Source organism: Homo sapiens, chromosome 1 (genome assembly GCF_000001405.40).
Source record: "Homo sapiens chromosome 1, GRCh38.p14 Primary Assembly".
NCBI classification, from domain to species: Eukaryota; Metazoa; Chordata; class Mammalia; order Primates; family Hominidae; genus Homo; species Homo sapiens.
The window spans coordinates 32,353,283-32,379,771 of NC_000001.11; the positions used below are offsets into that span (position 1 = coordinate 32,353,283).

Consider the following 26,489-nt stretch of genomic DNA (forward strand, 5'->3'; position numbering starts at 1 on the left):
TCATGGGAGCCTTTTCCCTAATTCTATGCATGCTTAAATGGCAGCTCCTCAGCCAACTCTAGTTCAGGAGGCTGCTGGGGCTCCAGGACTCCCTAAACTGTCAGCAAAGTCCTGACACTTTCCTTCCCCAAAACTGAAAAGCCCTTGATCTGTTTAACCCTCTCTTTTTGCAGAAGAGGAAACTGAGGTTCACAATCGGGCAGTGAAAAGCCAAAAGTAAAACCTAGGCTTTCTACAACTCTGCCTGCTCCTACAAAAGGTGAGACAACCCTTCTGTGTGTCCTTGTCCAGCTCAGCATGGGGTTCAGGGCTCAGAGCCCAGGCTGGGCCCTGCTCCTCCCTGACCCCTGGGGATCCTAAGGAACATGCTGGCCCAGCTCCCCTTCCCACACTGCCAGTTTGGGCTATTTCCCCCCCAGTGACTCACACTGGCTGCCGGAGAGAGTGGGCAGCTGTTCTGAGCCCCCAGAGCCCAGTACAGGCCCTGACTTGCCCCCCAAGTTCTGCAGCCATATTTGGGAATTTAATGTTTTTCCTCCTTGGGGACTCTCCTTCCCTTAATCCCTTCCTTTTTTCCCTGTCTTCAACCATTTTTCCTTATCTTCAGCCTCACCCTCCCTGATGGCTTCTTCCATAGGCAGACAAACAGGCTCTAGTCTTTCATATCTTTGAAAAAAAGAAAGCCCTCCCTCAACTCCACATCCTTCGCCAGCTCCCCTCTGCAGCCAGCATTCTTGAAGGAGTTGTATACACACGTTGTTTCTACTTCCTCACTCAGCCCCTGCAATCTGGCTTCCTCCCCCACCATTCCACAGGAACAGCCTGCCAAGGTCACTGCTGACCTCCTTGTTGCTAAATCCAAGGGATGCTTAAAAGTCTTTATCTGCCTTGACCCCTTAGCAGTGGCCAGCTTTGACACAAATACTCCTTCCTCTTTCAGATACTTTTAGGCCCTTGTATTTCTGGACACTGTGCACTTTTGATTTTCTTGCTATCTTATGGGTTGCTGCCACATGGCAAATTTCTTATCCTTTGCTCACTGCCTAATCATGGTTGTTCCCAGGCCTGCTACAGTCTGTCCCCAGGGAGTCTCATCAGCTCCCATGCCTTCAGCATCCAGCCCATGTCAGAAACTCATGTCTCTTTCTCAGTCCAGCCCTCTCCCCAACCCCACACCTGCCTCCTGGACCCCTCCTGCTGGATGTCCCACCTCTCAGGAAACAGGCTGCATACCTGCCCTCCCTCCATGTTCCCCAGCTTAGCCATCTCCCAGTTGTCTGAACCTGAAATCTGGACTTGGTTCTAGATTCTGCCCTCTCTCGCCTTTTTTTTTTTTTTTTTTTGAGACAGAGTCTTGCTGTGTCGCCCAGGCTGGAGTGCAGTGGTGCAATCTCGGCTCTCTGCAACCTCTGCCTCCCGGGTTCAAGCAATTCTCCTGCCTCAGCTTCCTGAGTAACTGGGACTATAGGCGTGCACCACCATGCCCGGCTAATTTTTATATTTTTAGTAGAGATGGGGTTTCACCATGTTGGCCATGCTGGTCTTGAACTCCTGACCTCATGATCCACCCTCCTCGGCCTCCCAGTGCTGGGATTACAGGTGTGAGCCACTGTGCCCAGCTTCTCTCACCCTTTTCATCCTCAAGCAGCTATGAAAACCTGTCCTTTCAGGACGTACCTAAAATCCCATAGCTTCTCTCCACTTCCGCCACCAACACTTGAGCCAAGGGCCCATCACCTTTCACCTCCTGCAGCAGCCTCCTGACCTGTCTCCCTGCTGCCACTCTCAATCCCCTGTGTGGTCTGTTCCTATAGGGCAGCTGGGTGTGTCTTTCCAACATAGGAATATGTCTCCCTGCACCATGTCTTTAGCATCAAGTTCACCCAACCCATGCCCCTGCCAACCCCAGTATTGGGGCATTCCTCAGTCTTTGCCTGGGTAACAGCTTCTCATCCTTCAGTTCAAGCGTCCGTTCCTCATGAGAGCCATTTCCAAACTCCCAGCCAGGCAGGTGGCTCTGCTATTTCTTCTCCTCACAGCACCAAGGCCTCTCCTCTGTGGACATCGCAAGCAGTCATTCACAAACTAGTCTAATCTGCAGATTCCTGAGCCCTCCTGTTCTAGATCCTGGGGATGTCAGGAGGAGGACAGTCCAGCCCCTGGCCCCTGTCATGTAATGGGGAAGACAGGCATTAAGCTGAGATCAGGAATAGATACGGACACTGAAGGCAACACAGTGGCCATGCAGGCCCTAAGGATGGTGGTCAGGGGGACTGTCTTTGAGGGTGATCTGTGGGGTCAGGGGAAGCTATTCCAGGCAGAAGGGATGGTGTACTTAAGGTAGGAGGAATGTTTTGTGATGATTTGAAAGGTGTCCAGTGTGGCTGCACAAGTGATGTGAAGAAGCCATTGATGAGGTTTAAATAGGAGACTGACCCAGCTGCGTTTGTGGTCTTTATAAAATAATTCTGGATTGGAGGAATCAATTGAGGAAGGAAGGAGGGAAACCTGGCAGGGAGCTGCCGGGATAATTGGGTGAGTAGTAAGGGGGGCCTGACTCAGGGCAGTGGCAGTGGATTTGGGGCAGACTGAACTGTGGTTGCCTGTACTGGAGTCAGGGAAGAGGGAGGGAATGAGAATGATTCTGGTCTTCCTACCCTAATGGTGGGTGGGAGAGGGCAGTGGGAACTGGACCACCCATATCCCTGTGGTGACCGTACCTGCAGTCCCTCATCCATCCTTTGTCTTTTTTCTTTTTTTTTTTTTTTTGAGACAGAGTCTCGCTTTGTCACCCAGGCTGGAGTGCAGTGGCACGATCTCAGCTCACTGCAACGTCCACCTCCCGGGTACAAGTGATTCTCCTGCCTCAGCCTCCTGAGTAGCTGGGATTACAAGCACACGCCACCATGTCTGGCTCATTTTTGTATTTTTAGTAGAGACGGGGTTTCACCATTTTGGTCAGGCTGGTCTTGAACTCCTGACCTTGTGATCTGCCTGCCTCGGCCTCCGAAAGTGCTGGGATTACAGGTGTGAACCACTGCGCCTGGCCATCTTTTTTTCTTTTATTCATGCAGTGACATGATCTCAGCTCACTGTAGCCTTGACCTTCCAGGCTCAAGCGAGCCTCCTAGCTCAGCCTCCTGAGTAGCTGGGACTACAAGCACACGCTACCACACCCGGCTAATATTTTTAATTTGTAGAGACGCCATGTTGTCCAGGCTGGTCTTGAACTCCTGTGTTCAAAAGATACACCTGCCTCAGCCTCCCAGAGTGCTGGGATTACAGGTGTGAGCCACTGCACTGGCCTCATCCTTTTTCTTTTCTTTCCTTCCTTTCCCTTTCCTTTTTCCTTCCCTCCTTTCCTCCCTTCCTCCCTTCCTTACTTTCCTTTTTCTTTCTCTTTCCTTGCTTCCTTCCTTTTCTTCTTTCTTTCTTTCTTTTCTTTCTTCCTTCCTTTCTTCCTTTATCTCTCTTTTCTTTCTTTCTCTCTCTCTTTCCCTTTCTTTTTTATTTTTGAGACAGAGTCTCACTCTGGTGCCCAGCCAGGAGTGCAGTGGCATGATCTTGGCTCATGGCAACCTCAACCTCCTGAACTCAGGTGATCCTCCCGCCTCAGCCTCCCAAATAGTTGGGACTACAGGCATGTGCCACCACGCCTGGCTATTTTTTTTTTTTTTTTTTTGTAGAGACAGGGTTTTGCCATGTTGCCCAGGCTGGTCTCAAACTCCTGGCCTCAAGAGGTCTGCCCACCTCAGCCTCCCAAAGTGCTGGGATTACAGGCATAAGCCACCATGCCTGGGCACCCATCCTTTTTCTTAGAAGAGCAGATGGAGGCCCCTAAGAGGTAGAAGGCTGCTAATAAGGCCTAGGACAAGGCAGAGGGGAGGAGAAGGGAAAGTTGGGTCCGAGTCCGGATGTGATGAGGTTTCAGGGAAAGTGGCATCTGGGGTTTCCTCAGAGCCTGGAAATTCCACTGTTTCCGGGACCACTCTGAGATCCCCAAATCCTGAGATGCTCAAACCCTGAGGCCCAGTCCTTGTAAGTCCTGGGGGCCCTCTAGGGGGTGTGAGTCTGTATCTGGAGGTCCACAATCCCCTGACAAGTTTCAAGGTGGTGAGTAGGATTCTTGACCGTCCCTAATGCCAATGTACAGTTCGGGTGAGGCACACCCCACGCCTGTTACCTGCATGATCCCATGTCATCCTCATGTAATCCTTGGAGGCACATAGCTTATTTATTCCCATGGCACCTATGAGACTTCAAAGGGTTAAAGAACTTGCTCAAATTCACACGGCTAGGATGAGGCAGAGTGAGGATTTGAACCAAGGTTTGACTGACATCAGAGTCTGTGCTTTTAACTCCTGTGCTATATTAAGTCTGGCGACCCCCCTGGTTGATTGGCTCAGTAAGAGGAGGAGGATTTGTGGGGGATTTGCTTGTGGTTGGGGTGGCTGTCCCCCTCTCATATCAAGCGATGGGAAAGGGTAGCGCTGACGTCGATTATTGCCATGGTGATACAGCAACCCTTTCCCTGCTGTCTCCATGGTAACCTGGGGGGTCCATCTGTACTTCGCCCCCTCCTTCTAAAAGGGGGTCCCTTAGGGAGGGGCTGGCTAATAAGGTGTCTGGGAAATAAGTCAGGGAAGGCAGTGATTGGAGCATCCCCCTTTGCCTGGCCCCTCCCCATTCCTCAGGCCCAGAGAGTAAGGCTGGGATCTGCATTGGGTCCTGCACTGGGGTCCGGGGACAGATGTAACCTTTAGGGTGAGGGAGGCAGCTCTGTCTTTTCCACCTGGGGATTCCCTTGGAAATTCCCCTGCCCCCAATCCCCCCACCAAGTTCTTAGGCTCCTGAACAGAACTGCTAGGAAGTTGGCAGAGAGAGGCAAGAGGGTTTCCTCAGCCCTCTTCAGGGCTGGACATCACCCAACCCCTGGGGACAGTGTCTTTGGCTGTCTGGCTGTCTGCTGTCCCTTGAAGCCAAAGGTAGGAGCAGCAGCCGTAGCAGTCTCTCTTGCTTATCAAGTGGTAGCTTTGGCAGTGATTCCTGCATGGTGCTATACATACAGGTCCTTACTGAAACTTTCTACCAGGTGTCAATTAGCCCTACTTAACAGATTTGAAGATGGAGGCTCAGAGGGGCTAAGTAACTAGCTCAAGACTGCACAGTTAGAGAAACAGCAGAGTTAGGACTTGAACTCAGCACTAGTTTCGGCCAGTGGCTCTTCCAGTGGAAAGGAGTAAGAAGAAACAGAACAGGATGGAAGAGAAGAGAAATAGGAGAATGAAGTGACCCAGGTAGGAGCCTGTCGTGCTCTGCCTGCCTGCAGAACAAAGTTCAAACTCCTTCACCTGGTACGCAAAGGTCTCCTTGATCCAGCTTCTCTTCTGTTAACCCATTCCTGGATCCCCTGCATTCTATGCTCTGAAAGGGAAAATGATGTCAGATTCAGGGCTGGGTTCTCAGTACCAGGCATGGCCCAGGAAGGTGTTGATGAAAATTGATGAACTGAGTTTCTTGAAATTGTCCTTCACTTTCCTGCCTCCAGGCCTTTACCCACAATGCTTCCTCCCCAAAGGGAATGCCCTTTCTCTTGCTCATGGACATTCTAGAGCTAACTAGCCCCATTGGCAAGGACTGCGTCTAGAATCTTTGTATCCCTCACAAATCAGGTACGTGGGATGTGGCAGTAACTGGTTTCTAAATTTTTTTTTTTTTTTTGAGATGGAGTCTCACTCTGTCACCTAGGCTGGAGTGCAGTGGTGCGATCTCAGCTCACTGCAAGCTCCACCTCCTGGGTTCACACCATTCTCCTGCCTCAGCCTCCCGAGTAGCTGGGACTACAGGTTCCCGCCACCACGCCTGGCTAATTTTTTTGTATTTTTAGTAGAGACGGGGTTTCACCATGTTAGCCAGGATGGTCTTCATCTCCTGACCTCATGATCCACCTGCCTCGGCCTCCCAAAGTGCTGGGATTATAGGCGTGATCCATCATGCCCAGCCTAATTTTTTTTAGAGACAGGATCTCACTCTGTTGCTCAGGCTGGAGTGCAGTGGTGTGACCTTGGCTCATTGCAGCGTCAAACTCCTGGGCTCAAGCAATCTTCCTGCCTCAGGCTCCCCGGTAGCTAGGACTACAAGCACACGCCACCATACCTGGTTTTTTTGTTTTGTTTTGTTTTTAGAGATGGGATCTTGCTGTTTTCCATGCTGGTCTTGAACTCCTGGGCTCAAGTGATCCTCCTGCCTCAGCCTCCCAAAGTGCTGGGATTACAGGCCTGAGCCACCATGCCTGGCCTATTTTTTTTTTTTTTTTAAGGAAAGGAGGGTTGAGAAGAGAGGAGAAGGAAGTGGGAGAGATGGAAAAAAAGGAAGAATGAGAAGGATTCACTATTTGGGGGCTGGCAGAGTCCAAAGAGACCAGCTGATGCCTTTTTTTTTTAAACCAGTGAGGAAATAGGCCCTTTTAGTAAGCCTCCTACATGGGGACTGCCTGGGAGAGCATTTTATGTGGAAACTGAGAAGGGTATCCCTTTTGGGTGACGTGGAATTTTAAGGTGCTCTAGGGAAAGCTTGGACTTCTCTACCCTATGAGGATTAGAGGAGGGTGTTGAATCAATTGTCCTTAGATCTCAGGGGACAGGAGACTGAACCTGACCTTTAGGTTACACTCCCCCCGTAACAAAATTGGAAAGTAGAATATACGGGCTCATTAAAGCCAAATTGGAAAGTAGGAAATAGTTGTTTAGCTTAAATACTAGCACCTCCAGGCAGGCTTCCTGTCATGGGCCCCTCCGAGGGCAGATCTTAGGTCATGTGGTCTCAGGATGCTGAGGAGTGTGCTAGACTCTCATTGGGGGACCTTGGGTAAGTCTCAAAGGCTCAGTTCACTCATCTGTAAAATAGGAAGTTAAACCAACGTCTTTCTTTCTCTCTCTTTTTTTTTTTTTTTTGGATAGAGTCTTGCTCTGTTGCCCAGGCTGGAGTGCAGTGGCATGATCTCAGCTCACTGCAACCTCTGCCTCCTGGGTTCAAGGAATTCTCCTGCCTCAGCCTCCCGAGTGGCTGGGATTACAGGTGCGTACCACCACACCCAGCTAATTTTTGTATTTTTAGTAGAGACGGGGTTTCGCCATGTTGGCCAGGCTGGTCTCGAACTCCTGACCTTGTGATCCACCTGCCTCGGTCTCCCAAAGTGCTGGGATTACAGGCGTGAGCCACCGCGCCTGGCAAGCCACCATTTTTCAAATGGCCTCTTCCCCAATCTTTTTATGATCACTTCAGTCCTGGGAGAAACCAAGGCTCAGGATGGACTGGGGCAGCTCCAAACCCTTCCAATAAGGAAGGTCCCAGGCACCTAGGGCCACAAAGAGCAAGTCGCAGAACTTTGTCGCAGAACTTCTCGCTCGAGAGGATTAAAATGGGTCTGGTCGGGTGCCTGTAGTCCCAGCTACTTGGGAGGCTGAGGCAGGAGAATTGTTTGAACCTGGGAGGCAGAGGTTGCAGTGAACAGAGATCATGCCACTGCAGTCCAGCCTGGGAAACAGAGCGAGACTCCATCTCATAGATAGATAGATAGATAGATAGATAGATAGATAGATAGATAGATAGATGATAGATAGATAAGATAGATAGATAGCCTGGTGTGGGTGGCCTATGGCTGTATTCTATGTTACTTGTCGGTCCACCTCTTCCTCCTGTTCCCCGCTTCTGTGGGTTGCCAGGGTCCAGCACAGTGATGTGAATTTCACCGGAGAATCACCAGAGGGTTAGAGAGATGGACCAGGGCAGGGCCCAAGGGAAAGGCTGCCCAGGAGGGGTCAGGACCAGCAAGATACGAGAGGAGTGAAGTGGCGTAGGTTGAAAGGCGGAAGGGCGGGCCCCTAAGGCTGGGTCCAAACGAGGAGGCTGCGGAAGGGAAAGTGTTATTGGACTGGGCAGAGCAGCTGGTGGGCCCGACGGATAGACATACACTGCCAGCCCGGAGTGGAAAGAACAGTTTGTGCTGTGCTTTATTAAAATGTGCATCATTCTTTTATTTTAAAATGTGCATCATTGTCTCGTGCTCGGCGCATGCGACCTCAGCGTGGTGGCCCGCTGGGGGCCTCGTTCCCGCCCAGCTCCCGCGGAGCCGCAGGGAGCAGGCGCACTCACGTGGCGCGGGCCCGGGGGCTCCCGCCCATGGCGAGGTAGACGTCGATGGGCACGTGCAGCAGCGTCAGGCAGTGGCATCCAGGGCAGCGACGAAGCGGCCTGGGGAAATTGACGCGCGACAGGGGCCGCTGAGGCAGGGGCTTGGCCCATCCTGTGGGGCGCACCCAGGGAGTGCACCTGGGGTCCCCGGGGGTCCGGACGTGGATGCGGGGTCCTGACTGCTGGGGGCGCCAAGTGGGACGGAGGGCGGGGCCGCGGGACGGGCGGAGGCGGGGGTGGGGCGCGGGCCTTACCTGACCGGGTTGTGCTCCGTCGCTACCGCCTCCGGGCTGTCCTGGGACTCGGGGGCGGCGGCAAGGCCACGGGAGTCTCCGGCCTCAATGGGGAATCTCCGACCCTGCGGGGGCTCCTGGGCGCTCATGTCCAAGCCCCGGGGCGCTCTGCGCGGGGAGTGGCGGTCAGGCCTCTCCCGGGTCGCCGGGCGCCGCCGCCTCGCGCCCGCCCCCTGGGCCGTCGCTCACCTCCCGGCGGTTGAGACCGGTCCCAGGCTAGAAGCAGCTGCCGGAGCCCTGGCCGCGGGAGAACGCTCCGGTCCAGGCGGAGCCGGGCAGGTCTCTGTGGCGTGCCCGGGCCCGGGCGTCGAGGAGGGCAGCATTGTGACCCGGGCCGCGGCGCGCTGACCTCACAGAGCACGTTCCTCCCACTGGAGAACCCCCAACGGTGCCCCCTGCCGCCCCTGGCACTCAGCGCGGGCCAGAATCGGGGACTGGAGGCCTCTGGCCATGGCGCCTGGAGACGGGGTCGCGCAGACCCCGGACACCCGAGGGGGGCGCAGCAGGCCAGGGCAACCCGCCGCGAGGCGGCGTCCACGCCGAGGAGCCGCGCATTCCCGGTCCACACAGACGCGGCGGAGCGCCCTCCCAGGCGGGACTACAACTCAATGCCTGGCACGGGGGCGGGCTCGGCGGTGACTTAATCCGGGCTGAGTTTGGTGGTGGTAGTGAGGGCAGGTAGGGGCACTGCCCATTTTGGCCAAGGGTCACACAGCATCTACATCACAATTGCACCGGAGTTTAAAAATGTCTGGCCCTGTCCCTCCCCACCACCCGCCGCTGTGTCCAGACAGAGAATGTTCTAACGCTGGGGGCGGCTGCGGATGAAGTCCTTGGGGAGAAAAGGAGCAGGCCAAGGGCGATGGTGGAGTAGAGCTGCCTCTCAGAGGCAGCATGAGCTGAGAGGGTGATAGGAAGGCGGCGCTAGACAGCATGGAGGACTTTCTGCTCTCCAATGGGTACCAGCTGGGCAAGACCATTGGGGAAGGGACCTACTCAAAAGTCAAAGAAGCATTTTCCAAAAAACACCAAAGAAAAGTGGCAATTAAAGTTATAGACAAGATGGGAGGGCCAGAAGGTGAGCCGGGGCCCCTTTGGAGGGAAGGAGGGAGGACTGGCTGAGGTGGGTGGGTGCTTCCTCCTGTTTGTTAGAACGATCATTCGATCATTCCCTGCTCCCGCTGGCCTGGAACCAAGCAAGCCCGATGGCAGCTCTGGAGTGGGTCAGTGGGGAACAGAGGGGTTCTGGGAGTCCAGGAACATTACACCCCCCCAGAATGCAAGATGAAAGTGGCATGAGGTGAAGGATCCTCAGAGGCAAAACCTGAGCCAGGCTTTCCTTTCCGGCAGGGGAACAGAGACTGGCAGAGGCCACAACCAGGGCTGGTAGAGAACAGGGGCTGGTGCCAAGGCCCGTGGAGATGGGAAAAAGGAAGACAGGGCTCATGGAAAGAATTGTGGGGTCAGGGGACAGTGGCGGGAGGAGCTGGCTCACCACCCTGTGGACAAATCAGGCCTTATAATTTGTGATTCTGTGGCTTTGTCTAAAAGTCCCTAAAGCACCTTGATATCCAGTCTCACAGACTGCTCACAACAGTCCACAAGGCTGGTGGGGAGTGCTTCTTTTGAATGATATACTAACGACAAAAATAATAGAAGTGAACATTCTTTGCAATGTCCAAGCAGCTAGACACACTTAAGACCATTAAGAAAGCCAAGAAATAAGACCCAGACAAGGTGGGCAGAAGTTGGAAGGCAGGAGACAGGTGTGAGGAGGTGGGCCTTTCTGATCTGCCAGCCCATCTCTCCTCCCCTTACTTCCTCAGAGTTTATCCAGAGATTCCTCCCTCGGGAGCTCCAAATCGTCCGTACCCTGGACCACAAGAACATCATCCAGGTGTATGAGATGCTGGAGTCTGCCGACGGGAAAATCTGCCTGGTGATGGAGCTCGCTGAGGGAGGGGATGTCTTTGACTGCGTGCTGAATGGGGGGCCACTGCCTGAAAGCCGGGCCAAGGCCCTCTTCCGTCAGATGGTTGAGGCCATCCGCTACTGCCATGGCTGTGGTGTGGCCCACCGGGACCTCAAATGTGAGAACGCCTTGTTGCAGGGCTTCAACCTGAAGCTGACTGACTTTGGCTTTGCCAAGGTGTTGCCCAAGTCACACCGGGAGCTGAGCCAGACCTTCTGCGGCAGTACAGCCTATGCTGCCCCCGAGGTGCTGCAGGGCATTCCCCACGATAGCAAAAAAGGTGATGTCTGGAGCATGGGTGTGGTCCTGTATGTCATGCTCTGTGCCAGCCTACCTTTTGACGACACAGACATCCCCAAGATGCTGTGGCAGCAGCAGAAGGGGGTGTCCTTCCCCACTCATCTGAGCATCTCGGCCGATTGCCAGGACCTGCTCAAGAGGCTCCTGGAACCCGATATGATCCTCCGGCCTTCAATTGAAGAAGTTAGTTGGCATCCATGGCTAGCAAGCACTTGATAAAAGCAATGGCAAGTGCTCTCCAATAAAGTAGGGGGAGAAAGCAAACCCAAAAACCCGCTTCTAAAATGGTGATATATATTTTACGCTTTAAGTTTACTTATCCTAAAACTTACCTACATCTACCCCAGCCTTACTACTACTCTTTCCTTTTAGAGATCTTCATGGAATCAAAGGGCCTCATTCAGACTTCCTTTTTTTTTTTTAAGAGTCTTGCTCTGTCGCCCAGGCTGGAATGCAGTGGCACGATTCCAGTTCACTGCAACTCTGCTTCCCAGGTTCAAGCGATTCTCCTGCCTCAGCCTCCCCAGTAGCTGGGATTACAGGCACCTCCCACCACGCCTGGCTATTTCTGTATTTTTAGTAGAGATGGGGTTTCACCATGTTGGCCAGGCTGGTCTGGAACTCCTGACCTTAGTGATCCACCCACCTTGGCCTCCCAAAATGTTGGGATTACAGGCATGAGCCACTGCGCCTGGCATGACAAGTGATTTTCATACTAAAGTTAATTAAAATAGACCCAAGAATCATATACAAACAGGGGGAAGAGAGGATAAAAATGACCAAGAGCAACTGAAGCCATTCTTGTTGCAACTTCCTTTCCAAAGGAAAGCAGAGGCACTGGGAGTGCAGAGATGGCCTCCCGACTCCTTGTCCCAGTGAGAGGCCTGTTGCGAGCCCTGACCCTTTCTCATCCCAAAGGCAAAGCTGAATCTGGGATGAGGACAAGGTACGTCCTCTGGACCTAGGCTATCCCCCTACCCTGTCTCTGGCTCCAAGTGGGAAGCCAGTCCTGCCCTGGCCCAGTGCAGCTGCCAAGGGGACAAAAACAGACCCCCAGACACCTTTCAGCTTCGGGTGAATCACTTTAATGCTGTTAACGGCAAGTCTGTAAAAGGTTCAGGACAAAGTTCTTTTTTCTTTCTTTTTTAATTATAAAACTAACAGCTGTTAGAATCTTTTTTTCTTTTTTTCCTTTTTTCTTTTCCCAGCTACAAAATACTCTGGGGAGATGCATTATAATTTAAAATATATAATATTGCACAAACAACCAAAAGGTTAATTAAACTAAAGAAATAATTACAAAGAGAAAAACCCCATCCCGTCAAAAAAAAGATTCAGCATTCTCTCCATCCCACCCCCTCACTGAAGGTTTGAAGTGGAAGTGACCTCACTCTCTCGGTGTCCCTGACCCACGATCCCTTTCACTCATTGGTGAGCACACCAGATTAGGTACAAGAATCACCAGAGCAGCATCGTGAAGCACCAGGCTCTCCAGAGATTCCTGCAGCCCCTCATTCCCCCAGAGGTGCAGCTTTACCAGAGTGGAGGGTGAGAGCACAAAGGCTGGGTCTGTCTTCAGGAAGAAGAGCTTTTGCAGAAGCCTGATGAGAGTTTCAAGTTCACCCCCAGGATAGCCCTTCCAGAAGCAGAAGGGCTGAGGCGGAGAAGCTAGGCTTACCAGAGTTGTAAGTACTCGGCTTTGATCACCGCTCTGTACCGCTGGTAGCTGTTTTGTGTCCTAAACTACAGGGGAGTTGAGGTGGGTAGCTGGTTGGACAAGGTATCCTGCCAGGCAACACACAGAAGGGCCTGAAGTAGCCCCCTCCCTTCTTGGGGAGGGGAAGAAACGCAAGAGCGAACTCCTGCAGGTGGCACAGCTGGGCTAAGGACTTGGGTGCATCCGACATGAAGAAGCCCTGGGAAGGCATGGGGACAGACCAGCGTGGGCTGGAGGAAAGGAAGGAGGTGGGTCAGGGTTTGGTCTCTGGATTCTGAACCCCAAAGGAGCCTTTCCAGGAATGGAAAATGCCTGGGAGGGGGAGAGTCCCAAGAGAGGCAAATTTCCCAGAGATAAGTGCCTCTTACCCACTGGGATAGGAACCAAAATGTGTTCACTGTCCCTGTTTAGCCAAGGGTAGGTGGCATGGCCCTCCCTGCCTGCTTATGTATGGACAGAGTATGTTGTCTCAGCTTCCTCCGAGAGAGACTGGTGGTTTAGCTTCTGTCTACACAGGCAGAAGGGCTAGAACTATCCCTTGGGACTTCCCAGCAGGAGTCCTCAGGAACAGTGGGTGTTCAGCAGAAAAACACAGGCTCTTCTGGTGAGGAGGATAGGTTTCCTCTCCCTTGGGTCATCCTATTGTTGGCACAAGTCAGAGTTTCTGGCCGGGATTTAGAGAGCCCCTTCCCAGGTGTGAGCAGAGGCCCAAGAGGGCCAGCAGGGAGCCACCAGAATCTGTGCCCAGAGCTCTGGTTGGCAGAGGAGATTTGGGGGAACATTCTCAGTCTTCCAGGGCTGGGCTGAGACGAGCGAGGGAGGCGAGAGATGCCATGGGTGGGGGAGCTGCTCCCTCTGGCTCCCTCACTCCCAGTCCTCCCACTCTACATCTTCCAGCTGCAAATGGGAGGGGGTAATGGAAATCACAAACACATAGTTACTCCTGAGTCAGGCCCAGACCTAACCTCCACTTGCTGAGCAGAGCCACCTCCCATCCCCTACCCCAGGCCATACTCTGAGGTCCCACTGAGAGTGAACCCCTAGTCTTAAGGAATGTGTCTGAGGGGCAGAGCTGCCCTCTGCCTGAGGGGTGGGCCTGATGCTCTGATTACCTCAGACCTAAAGGAAACACTTCCCCCAACCAACACCAGACACCACAAGGTGATGGCTGCCTACAGGAACCAAGTCAGCCTCAGTCCTTTAAGGAGAACTTGCCTCCTGCTGAGCAGATAATGCCATGGCTCTGAGAAGCAGAGAACTCAGGAGGCCTGAGCAGATACTTGGCCCTGGACACAAAAGACCAGTGTAATCAAGGGCAAGTTACTTAGTCTTTGGGTGAATGGAGGCCACTGCCTGAGTGGCACTGTGGCCAAAAGCAGAGGTGGCAGTGGCCTACAGATGCCCACTAGGTCTTCACTAGGGGCACCAACACCCTAATTCCCAGCTCAAGTCTCCCCACGGAACGTTTTCTTGCTTTGTTCCTACTCTTGGCCTGCTGTCGGCTAAGCCCTGGTATAGCAGGTTCTAGAATGCTCACGTGTACTGCACGTCAGGTTTTAAAGGGGGCTGCAAAGACACAAAAAGCCAGCAAGCCCCTGTGGCCTGACAGGGCACTATGGGCTTTCTCTGTCCTGGGTATAGTGAGGTAGTCACAAGTGCAAAATACTCCTGAGTAGGTAAAATACTCCCCCAAGGCTTCAGTTTCCCATCATGAAAAAGGAGGCCCTTCACATGTCTCTCTAATCTGTCCACCTCTTTCTAACAGGCTCATAAGTTACATGATGGAAGGACTCATGTGGTTCTTATGTGACAGTGGAACTAACGCTGACATGAATCAGATGTCTGGGTTGCAGCCTCAGTCCTGTCACTTATTAGCTGGGAGAGCTTTGGACTGTTCCAGCCTCTCAATCTAAATGAGCCACTTTTGATTCTGAGAGGTAGTGAAGAATAACAGTACTAAGGCCTCCTTGAGCTTAATAACTGGAATGGGTTTTGTGGGGTTTATCACTAATGTCTCCTGAGTGCTGGTCACCATGTCTCAGGCAATAGCCCTAAGGTGTCTACATGGATCACCTCATTACAGCTTATAGCCAGGTCTTATAATGATCAATTCCATGTTTTAGATGAGGAACCAGGGGCTCAGGTTAAGTAACTTGCCCTTGCCCTTGATCACACTGGTCTTTTGTCTCCAAGGCCAAGTATATACTCAGGCCTCATACCTGAGGACCACAACTCAGAAGGTCAGGCAGGGTTTGATGTCTGTTTTCTTTTTTCCTTTTTTTTTTTTTTTCAAAAACAGAAATGGGGTCTCACTATATTGGCCAGGCTGGTCTTGAACTCCTCGCCTCAAGCAATCCTCCCACCTTGGCCTCCCAAAGTGTTGGGATTACAGGTGTGAGCCACCGCGCTCAGCATGACATCTGTTTTCTTAAGCAGTTTCTCAGGCAATTTTGATACAGAGCTAAGGTCAAGAACTTGACCCTCTATCCACCCTGGAACTGAGGAAAAGTGCAGCCTGCTGATGACCAATGTTGTGGGTCTGAGCAGGAAGCTCCAGCTCCTTTCCCACCACCTGTCACCTCAGACAGGAGCAGGGACCCTCCTGAGGGGACAGCTGGGCTGGCTGGGGAGAGCTCTCACACCCAGGACCATTAGGCTCGCTTCCCTCTGACCCACCAGGCCCACTCACCTCCCCGGAGGCATCCACTTTGGAAAGTGCCATCTGCACCTCCTCTTCAGTCATGTCCAAGTCAAAGTCTTTCTCCCAGTCCTCACTGATGTCCGTGCTTGAGCCTGGAACCACGAGCCACAGTGTGAAAAGCAGGAGGAGGCAGGGAAGGGGCACCTGAAGAGGGTGTAGCTGGGGAGATAGCATGCTTCAAAAGGGTCTCACAAATACACAAGTCTTTACATTTTGTGTTCACTCTGGCGCACCAATCGTACTTTTTTTTTTTGTTTTCTTAGATGGAGTCTTGCTGTCACCCAGGCTGGAGTGCAGTGGTGTGATCCCGGCCCACTGCAACCTCTGCTTCCCAGGTTCAAGCGATTCTCCTGCCTCAGCCTCCCAAGTAGCTGGGACTACAGGCGCACGCCCCACACACCTGGCTAATTTTTGTATTTTTAGTAGAGACGGGGTTTCACCATGTTGGCCAGGCTGGTTTCAAACTCCTGACCTCAATGATCTGGCCACCTCGGCCTCCCAAGGTGCTGGGATTATAGGTGTGAGCCACCGCACCTGGCCCCCACTTTTAAGAATCTATTCTAAGGAAAAATCTTGGATTCAGTCAGAAATTTAGCAAAGAGTGTTCACTGCAGTGCTGTCATAGTGATGGAAACCTAGAAACAATCTGAAAGCCCACTGACAGGGAATTAGACAAGTAAACAGTGAGTTACATGGTGGAACACTGTAGGCTGTTAGAGGTTAGGCTGGAGAAGAACTTCACATCCATGCCAAACAGCCTTAAACTATTACCTCGGAAAAGGCAGGTTACTAAAGAGCGGAGAAGCACTTTGGCCCAGAGGCTCCAAGAGAGTCACAGAAATCTTCCAGAGGAAATCAACAGTGAACTGAGACCTTGTCTCTAGAAAAAAATTTAAAAATTAGCCAGGCATGGTAGTACACACCTAAGGAGTCCCAGCTACTCAGGAGGCTGAGGTGTGGTGATCACTTGAGCCCAGGAGTTCAAGGCTGCAGTGAGCTATGATCATGCCACTGCAGTCCAGCCTGTTGACAGTGCAAAACCCTGTCTCTAAAGAAAACAAAAACCTCCCCTCGGACCCCCAAACAGTAGACCTCTTCTTCCTCACTCCATTCTGCCCACACTAATCTTGTTCCTCCAGAAACATACCAGGCGCATTCCCAACTTAGGGCTTTTGCATGGGCTGTTCCCTGCACCTGGAACTCGTATCCTCAGATATCTACAAGACCAACTTTTCACCTCCTTCATGCCATTGCTCAAATCGTACCTTCTAGATGTGGCCTACACTGACCATCCTAGTTTAAAGAGCAACCCATCATCACCCTCACTCTGCTCTAGTTGTTCTTTTTTTTCTGAGACAGAGTCTCGCTCTGTCACCCAGGCTGGAGTGCAGTGGCACGATCTCAGCTCCCTGCAACCTCCGCCTCCTGGGTTCAAGAGATTCTCTTGCCTCAGCCTCCTGAGTAGCTGGGATTACAGGCACCTGCCTGGTACCACATCCAGCTAATTTTTGTATTTTTACTTATTTATTTATTTTTTGAGACGGAGTCTCGCTCTGTTGCCCAGGCTGGAGTGCAGTGGCGCGATCCTAGCTCACTGCAACCTCTGCCTCGCAGGTTCAAGTGATTCTCCTGCCTCAGCCTCCTGAGTAGCTGAGATTACAGGGGCATGCCACCATGCCTGGATAATTTTTGTATTTTTAGTAGAAACGGGGTTTCACTATGTTGGCCAGGCTGGTCTCAAACTCCTGACCTTAGGTGATCCGCCTGCTTTGACCTCCCAAAGTACTGGGATTATAGGCGTGAGCCACTGCGCCTGGCTCTGGATTGTTCTTTTTCCCATTGTAGTGATCACTTTCTAACATATTACATAATCAGACTTAATATGTTTATTGTATATTAATAGAGGAGTTAGAATATAAGCCCTGTGAGTGCCAGGATCTTTTGTTTTGTTCTCTTATGTATTTCAAGTTTTTAGAACACATAGTTGGCACTCAATAGTCACAGACCCTTTCTGTAAACCAGGGGTTGGCAAACTATGGCCCAGGGATCAAATCTAGCCATGTCGCCGGGCGTGGTGGCTCACGCTTGTAATCCCAGCACTTTGGGAGGCCGAGACAGGTGGATCACGAGGTCAGAAGATCGAGACCACCCTGGCTAATGTGGTGAAACCCCATCTCTACTAAAAATACAAAAAATTAGCTGGGGGTGGTGGCAAGCGCCTGTTAGTCCCAGCTACTCGGGAGGCTGAGGCAGAAGAATCGCTTGAACCCGGGAGGCAGAGCTTGCAGTGAGCCAAGATCCCGCCATTGCACTCCAGCCTGGGTGACAGAGTGAGACTCCGTCTCAAAAAAAAAAAAAAAAAAAAAAAAAAAAATTCTAGCCATGTCACATCATTTGTTTACATACTGTCTATGGCTGCTTTCATGCTGCAAGAGCGGAGATGAGTAATTTTGACTGCATGGCCCAAAAAGCCTAAAATATTTATGGTCTGGTCCTATACAGAAAAAGCTTACCACCCTCTGCTCTAGATGATTCTGATGCCTGTCTGTACTATTTGATGATCATTGCTCTAAACATTCATATTTGGCTATGACTTCTTACAGGTAATATTAAAAAGATATATATAAAAGTTATTACTAAGAAGTAAACTACACAAATAGTTCCTTTCAATAAAGCATGTACAGTAAGATTCCAGCTTTAAAATGTGCCCATAGATGCATGCACACATGCAGAAGAGATGAGCAAGATATCCAAATACACTAGCAAAGTTATCTCTAGGTGATGAGTTCATGAGGTGATTTTCCTTAATTTTTTTCCTAAAATGAACACATACGACTTTGTAATCTTTTTTTTTTTTTTTTTTTTTTTATTTGAGATGGAGTCTCACTCTCGCCCAGGCTGGAGTGCAGTGGCACAATCTCGGCTCACTGCAAGCTCTGCCTCCTGGGTTCACACCATTCTCCTGCCTCAGCCTCCTGAGTAGCTGGGACTACAGGCGCCCGCCACCACGCCCGGCTAATTTTTTATATTTTTAGTAGAGATGGGGTTTCACCGTGTTAGCCAGGATGGTCTCGATCTCCTGACCTCGTGATCTGCCCGCCTCGGCTTCCCAAAGTGCTGAGATTACAAGCGTGAGCCACCGCACCCAGCCTGTAGTCTTTTTTTTTAAGTACCTTTAAAAAGAGTGGGTCCCTGATCCTCCAACGGCATGACCAGTAAACATCTCCGTTTCTTCTTCTCCGACCTACTCCTCACCAGATGCCTCCGCGCTGAGACCTACCCCTCAGCCCCGCTCCCACATTCCTTCTATGGTATCCTGCATCATCCTCTCTTCTAGCCAGAGCATGGTCTCTGGGGCCAGGCAGACCTGGGTTGAATACCTACTCCTTTACTGTGTAGTCTTGGGCAAATTATTGTTGGCTTCAGTCTATTTATAAAATATGGATAAAAGCAACCTCTGCAAAGAACCACTGGAGAAGCGTATTAAAATACAGACTCCTACCCTGCCCACCCCCAGTCCCAACTAAGACTCAGCAGGTCTAGCTGGTGGCTGGGAAGGCTGCATTATAAGCAGGTACCTGTGTGTTCTGTGTAGACCTGGCCCTGCCGTTTGAGAAACAATGGTGTTAGAATTAGAGGTATGAATGTAAAGTGCCTATTACATACATACACATGGCTATGTAATGAATGGTGCTGCCTTTCTTCTAAGGGCCTTGTCTCAGAGTTATGTCATTCTGTACACGGTACCTCAGGAAGTCAGGGCAGCCAAGACCCAGCTCTTCTGACTCTGCACCTACATCCCTCTGTGCCTTCAGGACACTTAGGTGACATTCATCTGGCTGTCACCACAGGCTTCCTGTGGGTTAGCCAGACTCTTCGCTGCTTCCTCACTTCAGGGCTTTGGTTGTGGCCATGACAGCTTTCCCTAACCTCAGGTTGCCCTCTAGGGACTTGAAACTGTCTCTTCAGGCTTAAATGCTATGGCAGAACCTTTCAGGGGTAGAGAACAGAGTATCCACTAACATTTCTGGAATATTCCACATCTAGCTCTTGGGTGGGTATTAACAGTCCCAGTATACGGATGAGGAAATGAAGGCTTCAGGTGGTGCAGGGAGCTGTGAAGCTGGGTTCTCTCTGCCATCTGCCTCCTTCCACCGTCCTACCCTGTCACACAAGGAGAGCACTAAGATCTCCATTACAATGTGCATGTGGCAGAGAGGTGGCCTATGCTACAATTTAAGACTTCAGAATGGAGTTCTACTGGTTTGGTTTTGAAAATGGAAGTTTTCGGGTGATTGCTAACTTTGTAGTGCTGTCACTCACAGCTCATTTTATTCTGTTTAATCGGCTCTCTGCTTCCCCAGTTAAGAAATAGAGGCAAAACTGCTCTTAGGTCACACGGTCATGAAGTGAGGTCTTAACCTCCAGGCTCCTTCCAGGCCACAGGCCTGCCCCAATCTCTCCTCCCCTTCTCTGCAGAAAGAAGTCCAGTCTCTCAGAACAGACGAATGCTGTGACAAAACATAGGTGGAAAGCAGCTCTGCGATGACAGGGATCACCCTGGGAACCAGTAAAACCCTTTGGCTAGGGTACCCCAAGAGACTCTGCTATACCCAGAGACCAAGCCTTATGTCACCCTAGGACTTGGGCCCAACAGGAAAAAGGAGTCACTTTGTCTCCAAGCCCCCATTCTTCTTTTTATTTCTTCTACTCTGTTCCCACTGTTCCAGCCTAGTCCAAGACTCTGGCTTCCTCCCACCTGACTACGGTTGTTTCTTGTGAGTCTTCTATAGCACATCCTCAGCCTCTCCTTTCACAGGCCCTGAGGGCAGCAGAGGCAGCATAGCAGAGTAGTTAAGAGCTTATGTTTACCTCTCCTGTAATTTCAATTCCATCCAGTCTCCAACCACTACTGATTTTTTCTGATCACCCTTTGTAGCCCAATTCCAAATGAAACCTATAATTTGTAACCCTCCAACTGTTTCACTATCCCTCATTCTCTCCCGTACTCAGCTCAGATTCCATGAGGCATCATTCTTATCACTTCTTGCATATACTTTCTTTTCTTTCCTATTTTTTTGAGACAGGGTCTCAGCTCTGTCACCCAGGCTGGAGGGCAGTGCAGCAATCTCAACTCACTGCAGCCTCAACCTCCCCACTCAGGTGATCCTCCCACCTCAGCCTCCCGAGTAGCTGGGACTACAGGCACGTGCCACCACATCTGGCTAATTTTTTGTATTTTCTGTAGAGATGGGGTTTCATCACAATGCCAGGGCTGGTCTTAAACTCCTGGGCTCAAGCGATCCACCTGCCTCAGCCTCCCTTAAGTACTGCAATTATAGGTGTGAGCCACTGTGCCCAGCGGACTTTCTTCTTTTCATCAACTGATTTTACCTGGCTAAACTTGAACCTAATTAGATCCAACTCCCCATCTGCTCTGTTCCTGCACCTGAGCAACTGAATATGGCTGAACAAAAATACAACATGTTGATGGTCTCACTTAAAACCTACAATCACAACCTCAGTGGGCCCTGGGACCATCCACCCAGCAACCCTATTACACCTGTCAGGCCCACCACCTACTCCTCCCTCTTCTACAGGACTATTTCACACTGAAATATTTACTGGGTGGGTCACTGATCTCAGGTTCCTACCACTAGAAATATGAGAAAAAGTACACAGATCTCACAGGGCTTTTGTAAGGATTGAGTAATATGCATATTACTGTGCATATGCATCTGTGCTTAGCACAGATCTAGACACAGAGAAAGTGCTCAGAGAATGTTACCTCTATTTTCATTTCCCCAAAGCAGGGCTCTACTTAATTCTGCTCTGACTGAGGATCTATCATGAAACAATTATCCCGTTTATGGAGGAGCAAACAAAGGCTTAGAGAAGATTAGTAATCTTTCTGAAGTCACATGACTTATGAACAAAGTTGGGATTTGAACCCAGAACTGTCTGAACTCCAGAACCCACAGCCTTAGCATCCATGCTCTGCTGCTTTATGGCCCCAAGGCCAACCTTCTGAATCCAGCTTAAGGTTTTAAATTCTGAAGTTCTATTTCTGAGTCAACCCACTCACCCTTCTTGTACCTCCTTCTCCTGGGAGAGAATACAGAAGAGTGGGTTTAGGTCACCGCGCCTTAAACATGCCCCATGCCCTTTGCTAGCTAGTCTTTGTAGGCCTCCTCAGCTTAGACTACCACTCCCCTGCACCTGCCCCAAACTCACCAACTCTCCTATACGAGGCTTGTCTCCTCAGTGAAGCACCGCAGATGTCCAGAGATTCCTTCTTTCTCTGAACTCCTCCAGTACCAGACTGGCCCACCCTGCTTTATGCTTCCTCACAAAGGCTGCGGCTTCTGCCCCTCTCCCACTCAGTGTCTCATAAAGAACAGGTAGGAGCTCAGGCCGGGCACGGTGGCTCACGCCTGTAATCACAGCACTTTGGGAGGCCGAGGCAGGCAGATCACAAGGTCAGGAGATCGAGACCATCCTGGCTAACACAGTGAAACCCCATCTCTACTAAAAATACAAAAAATTAGCCGGGCATGATAGCATGCGCCTGTAGTCCCAGCTACTCGGGAGGCTGAGGCAGGAGAATGGCGCGAACCTGAGAGGCGGAGGTTGCAGTGAGCCGAGATCGCGCCACTGCACTCCAGCCTAGGCGACAGTGAGACTCCGCCTCAAAAAAAAAACAATAAAAACCAGGTAGGAGCCCAATGGATGACCTCATTGATCAAAGTCAGAAGGGAGACACTGGGTTGGAGACTGGAAACTCTATGGTTTCCATCAGGGAATAGGTTAGGGGTGGGGTGGGGTCCATTTCCCATCCACTGTGGCAAACCAGTCCCTTACTACACCAGCAGGCCAGGCCTTACCTGCTGGGCAAGCTTTGTGGCTGTGGCTGGTGCTGAGTGTTAGCAAAGACAGGAGGATGTGTGTGTGAAGTGTACAGGTGGTGGGGGGACTGGAGGGGGGGTTCTTAGTGATAATCAGCCGTCCCTGAAGTGGTATTTTGGATGTGGCAAAAAGGCTGACTGACACCAAGGCTATCCTTGTCCTTTAATTCCTGCAGTTACAGAGGTTGCTCTTTGACATAAACTCAGAGTCTCCAGTCTAAAATTCCATTACACAGATAAGAAACTGAAGCTCCATTACTCAAGCTGGGTCGCTGTAAATTCATGGGTGTTCATTATTTCTTCTTTAAACTGTAGGTATGAGTTTTGTTTATATATTTCATAATAACGAAGGCTTGGGGAAGCTGAATGACTTTCCTAAGGTTACACAGGAAGAAGACCCTTAACATCAATGTCACTGGGATTCCCAAGCCAGGGTAAGGTTAAATTGTCCAAAAAGATAGAAATTGGCACAGTGTGCTAGTTAAGGGCATGGGCTTGGAGTCAGACAGCCCTGGGTCTGAATCTGGGCCTCCTGGCCATGTGAACTTGGGCAAGTTACCTAATATTTTTGGGCCTCACTTTTTTTCATTTGTAAAATGAGGACAATAATACTGAGAAATTAGGTGCCATATAACATATTTAGCATGGGATCTGGCATCAAACTTGTTTTGTTGACTCTTAAGATGCCAACAATTGAAGATGCATTCTTATTTCAGAGATGTTGTGCAACTTAGAATGAAATATGTTAGCAAATAGTCAATATATAGCAGCTGTCATCATTATCAGAAACGAAAAAAAATCTGCTCATAGTATCCTAACAAGGGACAAGGAGACAAATCTGCCTCAGGAGGTGGCCCTGACCGCACACAACCCTCTGGGCTTGGACCTCCAGACCTACCTTTCTTTCCATTGTTGGAGGGTGTAGACTTCCCACTATCCGAGTTCAGCTCAAACACCCGTAAGTCTGTGGGCGCCTCCTCCCTCAGAGTCTCTACTCTGGCTGGAGGCCTGGGCTCTGGGCCGCCGGTGTGGCCAGCAGGCGTTAGGGGCTTGGAGTGAATAGGGGGTGAGGGTCCAGTCTCACCCACATCCACAGCCAGGCCCTGTTCCTCCAAGGATGCCTCTAGCAGCTTTTGGGACAGGTCCTTGGGTAGCACTCGTGCCTCAGGTGCAGTGGCCGGGTTGGCGATCTGTGTCACGAGGGAGATGCTCTCACTGCTCTCTGATGGAGTCACCTCTGCTGGGGGCTCAACTGAAGTCACCAGATTCTCTTCACAGGGGCTCTGGGGGCCAGGTTCTCCTTCAGGGAATGTAGAAATTTTGGCCACAGGAACCTTTGCCTCTTTTGGAGATATGGGTGAAATGCCCATGAGCTCCTCTGTAGAGAGAGAAAGGGAGGGGCAAGAGGGAAATGTAACCTGGCCAGCCATAAGACAACCTTGGAGCTCTCAAGTTCCTGCCAAAGTGTACTCTGATCAAGACTCAAGCCGGGCATGGTGGCTCACACCTGTAATCCCACCACTTTGGGAGGATGAGGCGGGTGGATCACCTGAGGTCAGGAGTTTTTGAGACCAGCCTGGCCAACACGGTGAAACCCCATCTCTACTAAAAATACAAAAAATATTAGCTGGGTGTGGTGGCACGTGCCTGTAATCCCAGCTACTTGGGAGGCTGAGGCAGGAGAATCGCTTGAACCCGGGAGGCGGTGGTTGCAGTGGGCGGAGATTGCGCCACTGCACTCCAGCCTGGATGACAGAGTGAGACTCTGCCTCAAAACGAAAAAAAAAAGACTCAATAGTGTCATTCAGCTCACCCCTTCGCCATCACAACGCTTCTGCAGACAGTCCCTGCTAGTCAAAGTCCTGTTTAGCCCTGGGGCCTAATGCCTGGTGGGCTTCCAGCAATGCAGTCCAAGGGGCTGTTATGGATTAGAAAGCCAAGGCTCAGAAGTGAGTCAGTTTTGGGTTCAGGTTGGACTCTGCTACATCCTAGGTGTATGATTGGGCAAGCCACCTAACTTTTAACTTACTCTTAACTTACTTTTATCCTTAAGAGGGGTAATGGGGTTGTGGTAAGGACTCTGTGTAGAGCTCTTAGGGCAGCCTGGACATATGGTGTAAACAAGAAATGCGTTAATATTATATCATCCAGAAGGCTTCAACATGCTGTTCTAAGCTGAGCTACAGGTAGAAGATGCTCAGCTCCCTCCCTAACTCAGTGGTTCCCAAACCAGCCTGGGCATTAATATTACCAGGGAACTTGTTTAAAATACATGTCTGGCCGCATCTTTACAGTCTTCTTTAGAAGGTGGGGAAAGGAATCTGGATTTTCAAGAAGCTCCCCAGTGACTAAGCGGCAGCTGGTTCATGGGCTGGCAGGGGAATCTACACCAACTGACACATGTGATTTCTGTAGCTAAATCGGAATTCCACTAGCCTTGTTCAATATCCCCTTGTTAGCTCCGCCTATCCTCACACATACAATGTGCTTGTTCCCTACTCTTCCCTGATGGGCACCAAGTCTCTCCAGGCTTCAGAGAGCATGGCCCAGCCCAGAGCGTCCCGCACAGATGTGACACTTGCCCCTCACCTCTCAACGCCTCTTACCTTCCTCCTCCTCCCAGCCGGGCTCTTCAGAGATGCTCTGTTCCGCCCGCTGCTTCAGGGCGTCCCTCCGGGCCTGCTCCTGAATGTGGGGGAGCAGAAGGCCACAGGCAGTCAGGGCACCCTCTTCCTAGACCCTGGTCCTGATCCCACAACTCTTGGCACCCTGTATCCCTTTCTTCTCTCAATAAATCCAGCCTGCTTCCCCCAGGGTTGAGTGGGGACCTCCCCATGCTAGACCAGCATACCTGCTCTAACTGATGGACTTTATAGAAATACCGATGCCAGAATTCTGAATGGGAAACAGCTGCTGGAACCTGGAGGGAGGGGAAAATGGAGGTGAGACTTTGGGAGTGTTTGTGTGGGGTCTGTGTCCCCAGCCTTATCAGTCTATTCCCAGCCAGTCTGGATTTCAGACCCAGTAAGTGGCTTAGCAGTGACAGTCAGAGCACTTCCACCCCCACCAAAGTTTCAGCCAGACCCACCTTCCTAGTCCGGGTTGGCCAAGGAGTGAGAAAAGAACTCCCATCAGGCTTTGCTGGCCCTTCCATTTCTCACCATTCTCTGATTGCCAGAAGCCTGGCAAACCAGCTTCTCCCATGTGGGGTCTTGGCTCAGGACACAGCTGGTCTGGCTCTATGGAGCCTCCCAGTGCTCTCCGGGCCAGATGACTCTGCAGTGACTCTGAACATGTCCCTCCCACCTCCCAACACCTCAAGCCTGGAGCTGGCTGAGGCCCTGCAGGCTGGGCCCTCACCATCTTGGTGTAGAGGGCCCGGATGGAGGGGCTGCCTACAAGGAGCTCTGAGATCTCCCCCTTCTTCTCCTCCAAGCAGAACTGGGAAAGCCAGGCGTCAAACAATTCCGGGGGCCCTGCAGAGGGACAGATGCTGACGGTCAGTTGCCTTGGTCTGGGAAAAGAACACTGGGCTTACAGAACATATCTAAGGCTGGACATGGAAAATGAAGAAAGCTTGTGTATTCAAAGCCACTTAGCCAAGGGTAGGGGGTCAGGCAGGGTGAAGGGGCGGGTGCCGCACCTGAGTGATCTCCAGAAGGGGCTGCAGTCTCCATTTTCTCATATCCCTGCTGGCTTTTTAGCCCATGGCACCTGGCTGCTGAATCTCCTCATCTCTGAAACAGCTGTTCTCAGGTCTCATGACCCCAGCTGCCAAAGCCAACATCTATTTCTCTGTCTTCCCTCGTGTGACCATCTCTGACTCTGGGGGCCATTGCCTTTCTCCTGAAGCCCTCGTCTCTCCTGGTTTCTCACTCCTTTGTTATTTTCCTCCACTTCTCTGGTTGGTCCATCTGAGTCTCTGTGGGCTTCTCGTTTTCCTTTCCTTTCCATATCTCTCTGGCTTTTTATTTTTTTTCCCAAAATAATTGCCACTAAACCACAAGTTTCAACCTCATCCTCCCACTGATAATTCCTGTGTCTCTTTGCAGCCCAGGCTACTCTCTTGGCCCCAGATCCAGAGGTCCAGGTACCCCCGATACTTCCACCTGCAAACACACCGTGTGCTCATTTTCCTTCCCATCTGGTTATCTGACAGGGTTATCCAACCTGGGGGCCATCCTATCTCCTCCCTTATCCAATCACTCTGGATCACACTTCCTCAGTGTCTCCTTTTTATTTTTGAGAGATAGAGGCTTGCTCTGTCACCAGGCTGGAGTGCAGTGGCACAACCGTGGCTCACTGCAACCTTGAACTTCTGGGCCCAAGTGATCCTCCTGCCTCAACCTTCCGAATAGCTGAGGCTACGGGCACGCCATCATGCCTGGCTAACTTGTGTCTTTTATAT

At 51.2% G+C, this 26,489-nt stretch overlaps 3 protein-coding genes and 1 long non-coding RNA gene across 11 annotated transcripts in view, besides 3 other annotated features; 2 read left to right on the forward strand and 2 right to left on the reverse strand.

Moving 5' to 3' along the window:
* Positions 1-367: part of an enhancer, noted in NCBI's record as "H3K4me1 hESC enhancer chr1:32818736-32819250 (GRCh37/hg19 assembly coordinates)", that runs on past the window's edge. NCBI's record gives its function as "activates a minimal SCP1, AML or CMV promoter by ChIP-STARR-seq in naive H9 embryonic stem cells {active_cell/tissue: H9 hESC(naive)}" and the evidence as "EXISTENCE:reporter gene assay evidence [ECO:0000049][PMID:30033119]".
* LOC124903933 (uncharacterized) overlaps positions 1-8,046 on the forward strand; it is a 9,727-nt gene extending 1,681 nt beyond the window's left edge. For both annotated transcript variants that reach the window (XR_007065636.1, XR_007065642.1), the window contains exon 3: positions 174-8,046. This is a non-coding gene — a long non-coding RNA (uncharacterized LOC124903933). The remainder of the gene's footprint in view (positions 1-173) is intronic.
* On the reverse strand, positions 7,988-9,203 carry FAM229A (family with sequence similarity 229 member A). Its single transcript, NM_001167676.2, has 3 exons — positions 8,676-9,203; positions 8,448-8,594; positions 7,988-8,253 (listed from the first exon to the last, which is right to left on the reverse strand). The coding sequence occupies exons 1-3, from the start codon at positions 8,807-8,809 to the stop codon at positions 8,151-8,153; spliced, it is 384 nt and encodes a 127-aa protein (NP_001161148.1). The 5' UTR covers positions 8,810-9,203; the 3' UTR covers positions 7,988-8,150.
* Positions 8,485-8,784: a silencer, noted in NCBI's record as "silent region_597". NCBI's record gives its function as "represses an Ori minimal core promoter by ATAC-STARR-seq in GM12878 lymphoblastoid cells {active_cell/tissue: GM12878}" and the evidence as "EXISTENCE:reporter gene assay evidence [ECO:0000049][PMID:35858748]".
* Positions 8,935-9,134: a silencer, noted in NCBI's record as "silent region_598". NCBI's record gives its function as "represses an Ori minimal core promoter by ATAC-STARR-seq in GM12878 lymphoblastoid cells {active_cell/tissue: GM12878}" and the evidence as "EXISTENCE:reporter gene assay evidence [ECO:0000049][PMID:35858748]".
* TSSK3 (testis specific serine kinase 3) lies at positions 9,257-11,030 on the forward strand. Its single transcript, NM_052841.4, has 2 exons — positions 9,257-9,564; positions 10,313-11,030. The coding sequence occupies exons 1-2, from the start codon at positions 9,420-9,422 to the stop codon at positions 10,972-10,974; spliced, it is 807 nt and encodes a 268-aa protein (NP_443073.1). The 5' UTR covers positions 9,257-9,419; the 3' UTR covers positions 10,975-11,030.
* A 320-nt stretch (positions 11,031-11,350) lies between these two features.
* Positions 11,351-26,489, reverse strand: part of BSDC1 (BSD domain containing 1) — a 29,809-nt gene continuing 14,670 nt past the window's right edge. For 4 of the 7 annotated variants that reach the window (NM_001143890.3, NM_001143889.3, NM_018045.8 and 1 more), the window contains 6 exons: positions 25,442-25,557; positions 24,933-25,001; positions 24,688-24,766; positions 22,980-23,459; positions 15,165-15,268; positions 11,351-13,372 (listed from right to left, as the gene is read on the reverse strand). In NM_001143890.3, coding sequence (NP_001137362.1) covers positions 13,340-13,372; positions 15,165-15,268; positions 22,980-23,459; positions 24,688-24,766; positions 24,933-25,001; positions 25,442-25,557 — 881 coding nt within the window. In that variant the 3' untranslated portion in view covers positions 11,351-13,339. Of the gene's footprint in view, positions 15,269-15,947; positions 16,057-22,979; positions 23,460-24,687; positions 24,767-24,932; positions 25,002-25,441; positions 25,558-26,489 lie in introns of all 7 variants that reach the window. The other 3 variants (NR_125352.2, XM_047423812.1, NM_001300958.2) reach the window with 3 other exon arrangements.

Excerpts from the sequence above, each read along its gene's own strand:
- FAM229A (NM_001167676.2), bottom strand. The coding sequence starts at position 8,809 with ATGCTGCCCTCCTCGACGCCCGGGCCCGGGCACGCCACAGAGACCTGC. Across the intron at positions 8,595-8,675 it reads CCGGTCTCAACCGCCGGGAG|AGCGCCCCGGGGCTTGGACA; the intron begins GTGAGCGACGGC and ends CTCCCCGCGCAG. Across the intron at positions 8,254-8,447 it reads ACGGAGCACAACCCGGTCAG|GCCGCTTCGTCGCTGCCCTG; the intron begins GTAAGGCCCGCG and ends CAATTTCCCCAG.
- TSSK3 (NM_052841.4), top strand. The coding sequence starts at position 9,420 with ATGGAGGACTTTCTGCTCTCCAATGGGTACCAGCTGGGCAAGACCATT. Across the intron at positions 9,565-10,312 it reads CAAGATGGGAGGGCCAGAAG|AGTTTATCCAGAGATTCCTC; the intron begins GTGAGCCGGGGC and ends TTACTTCCTCAG.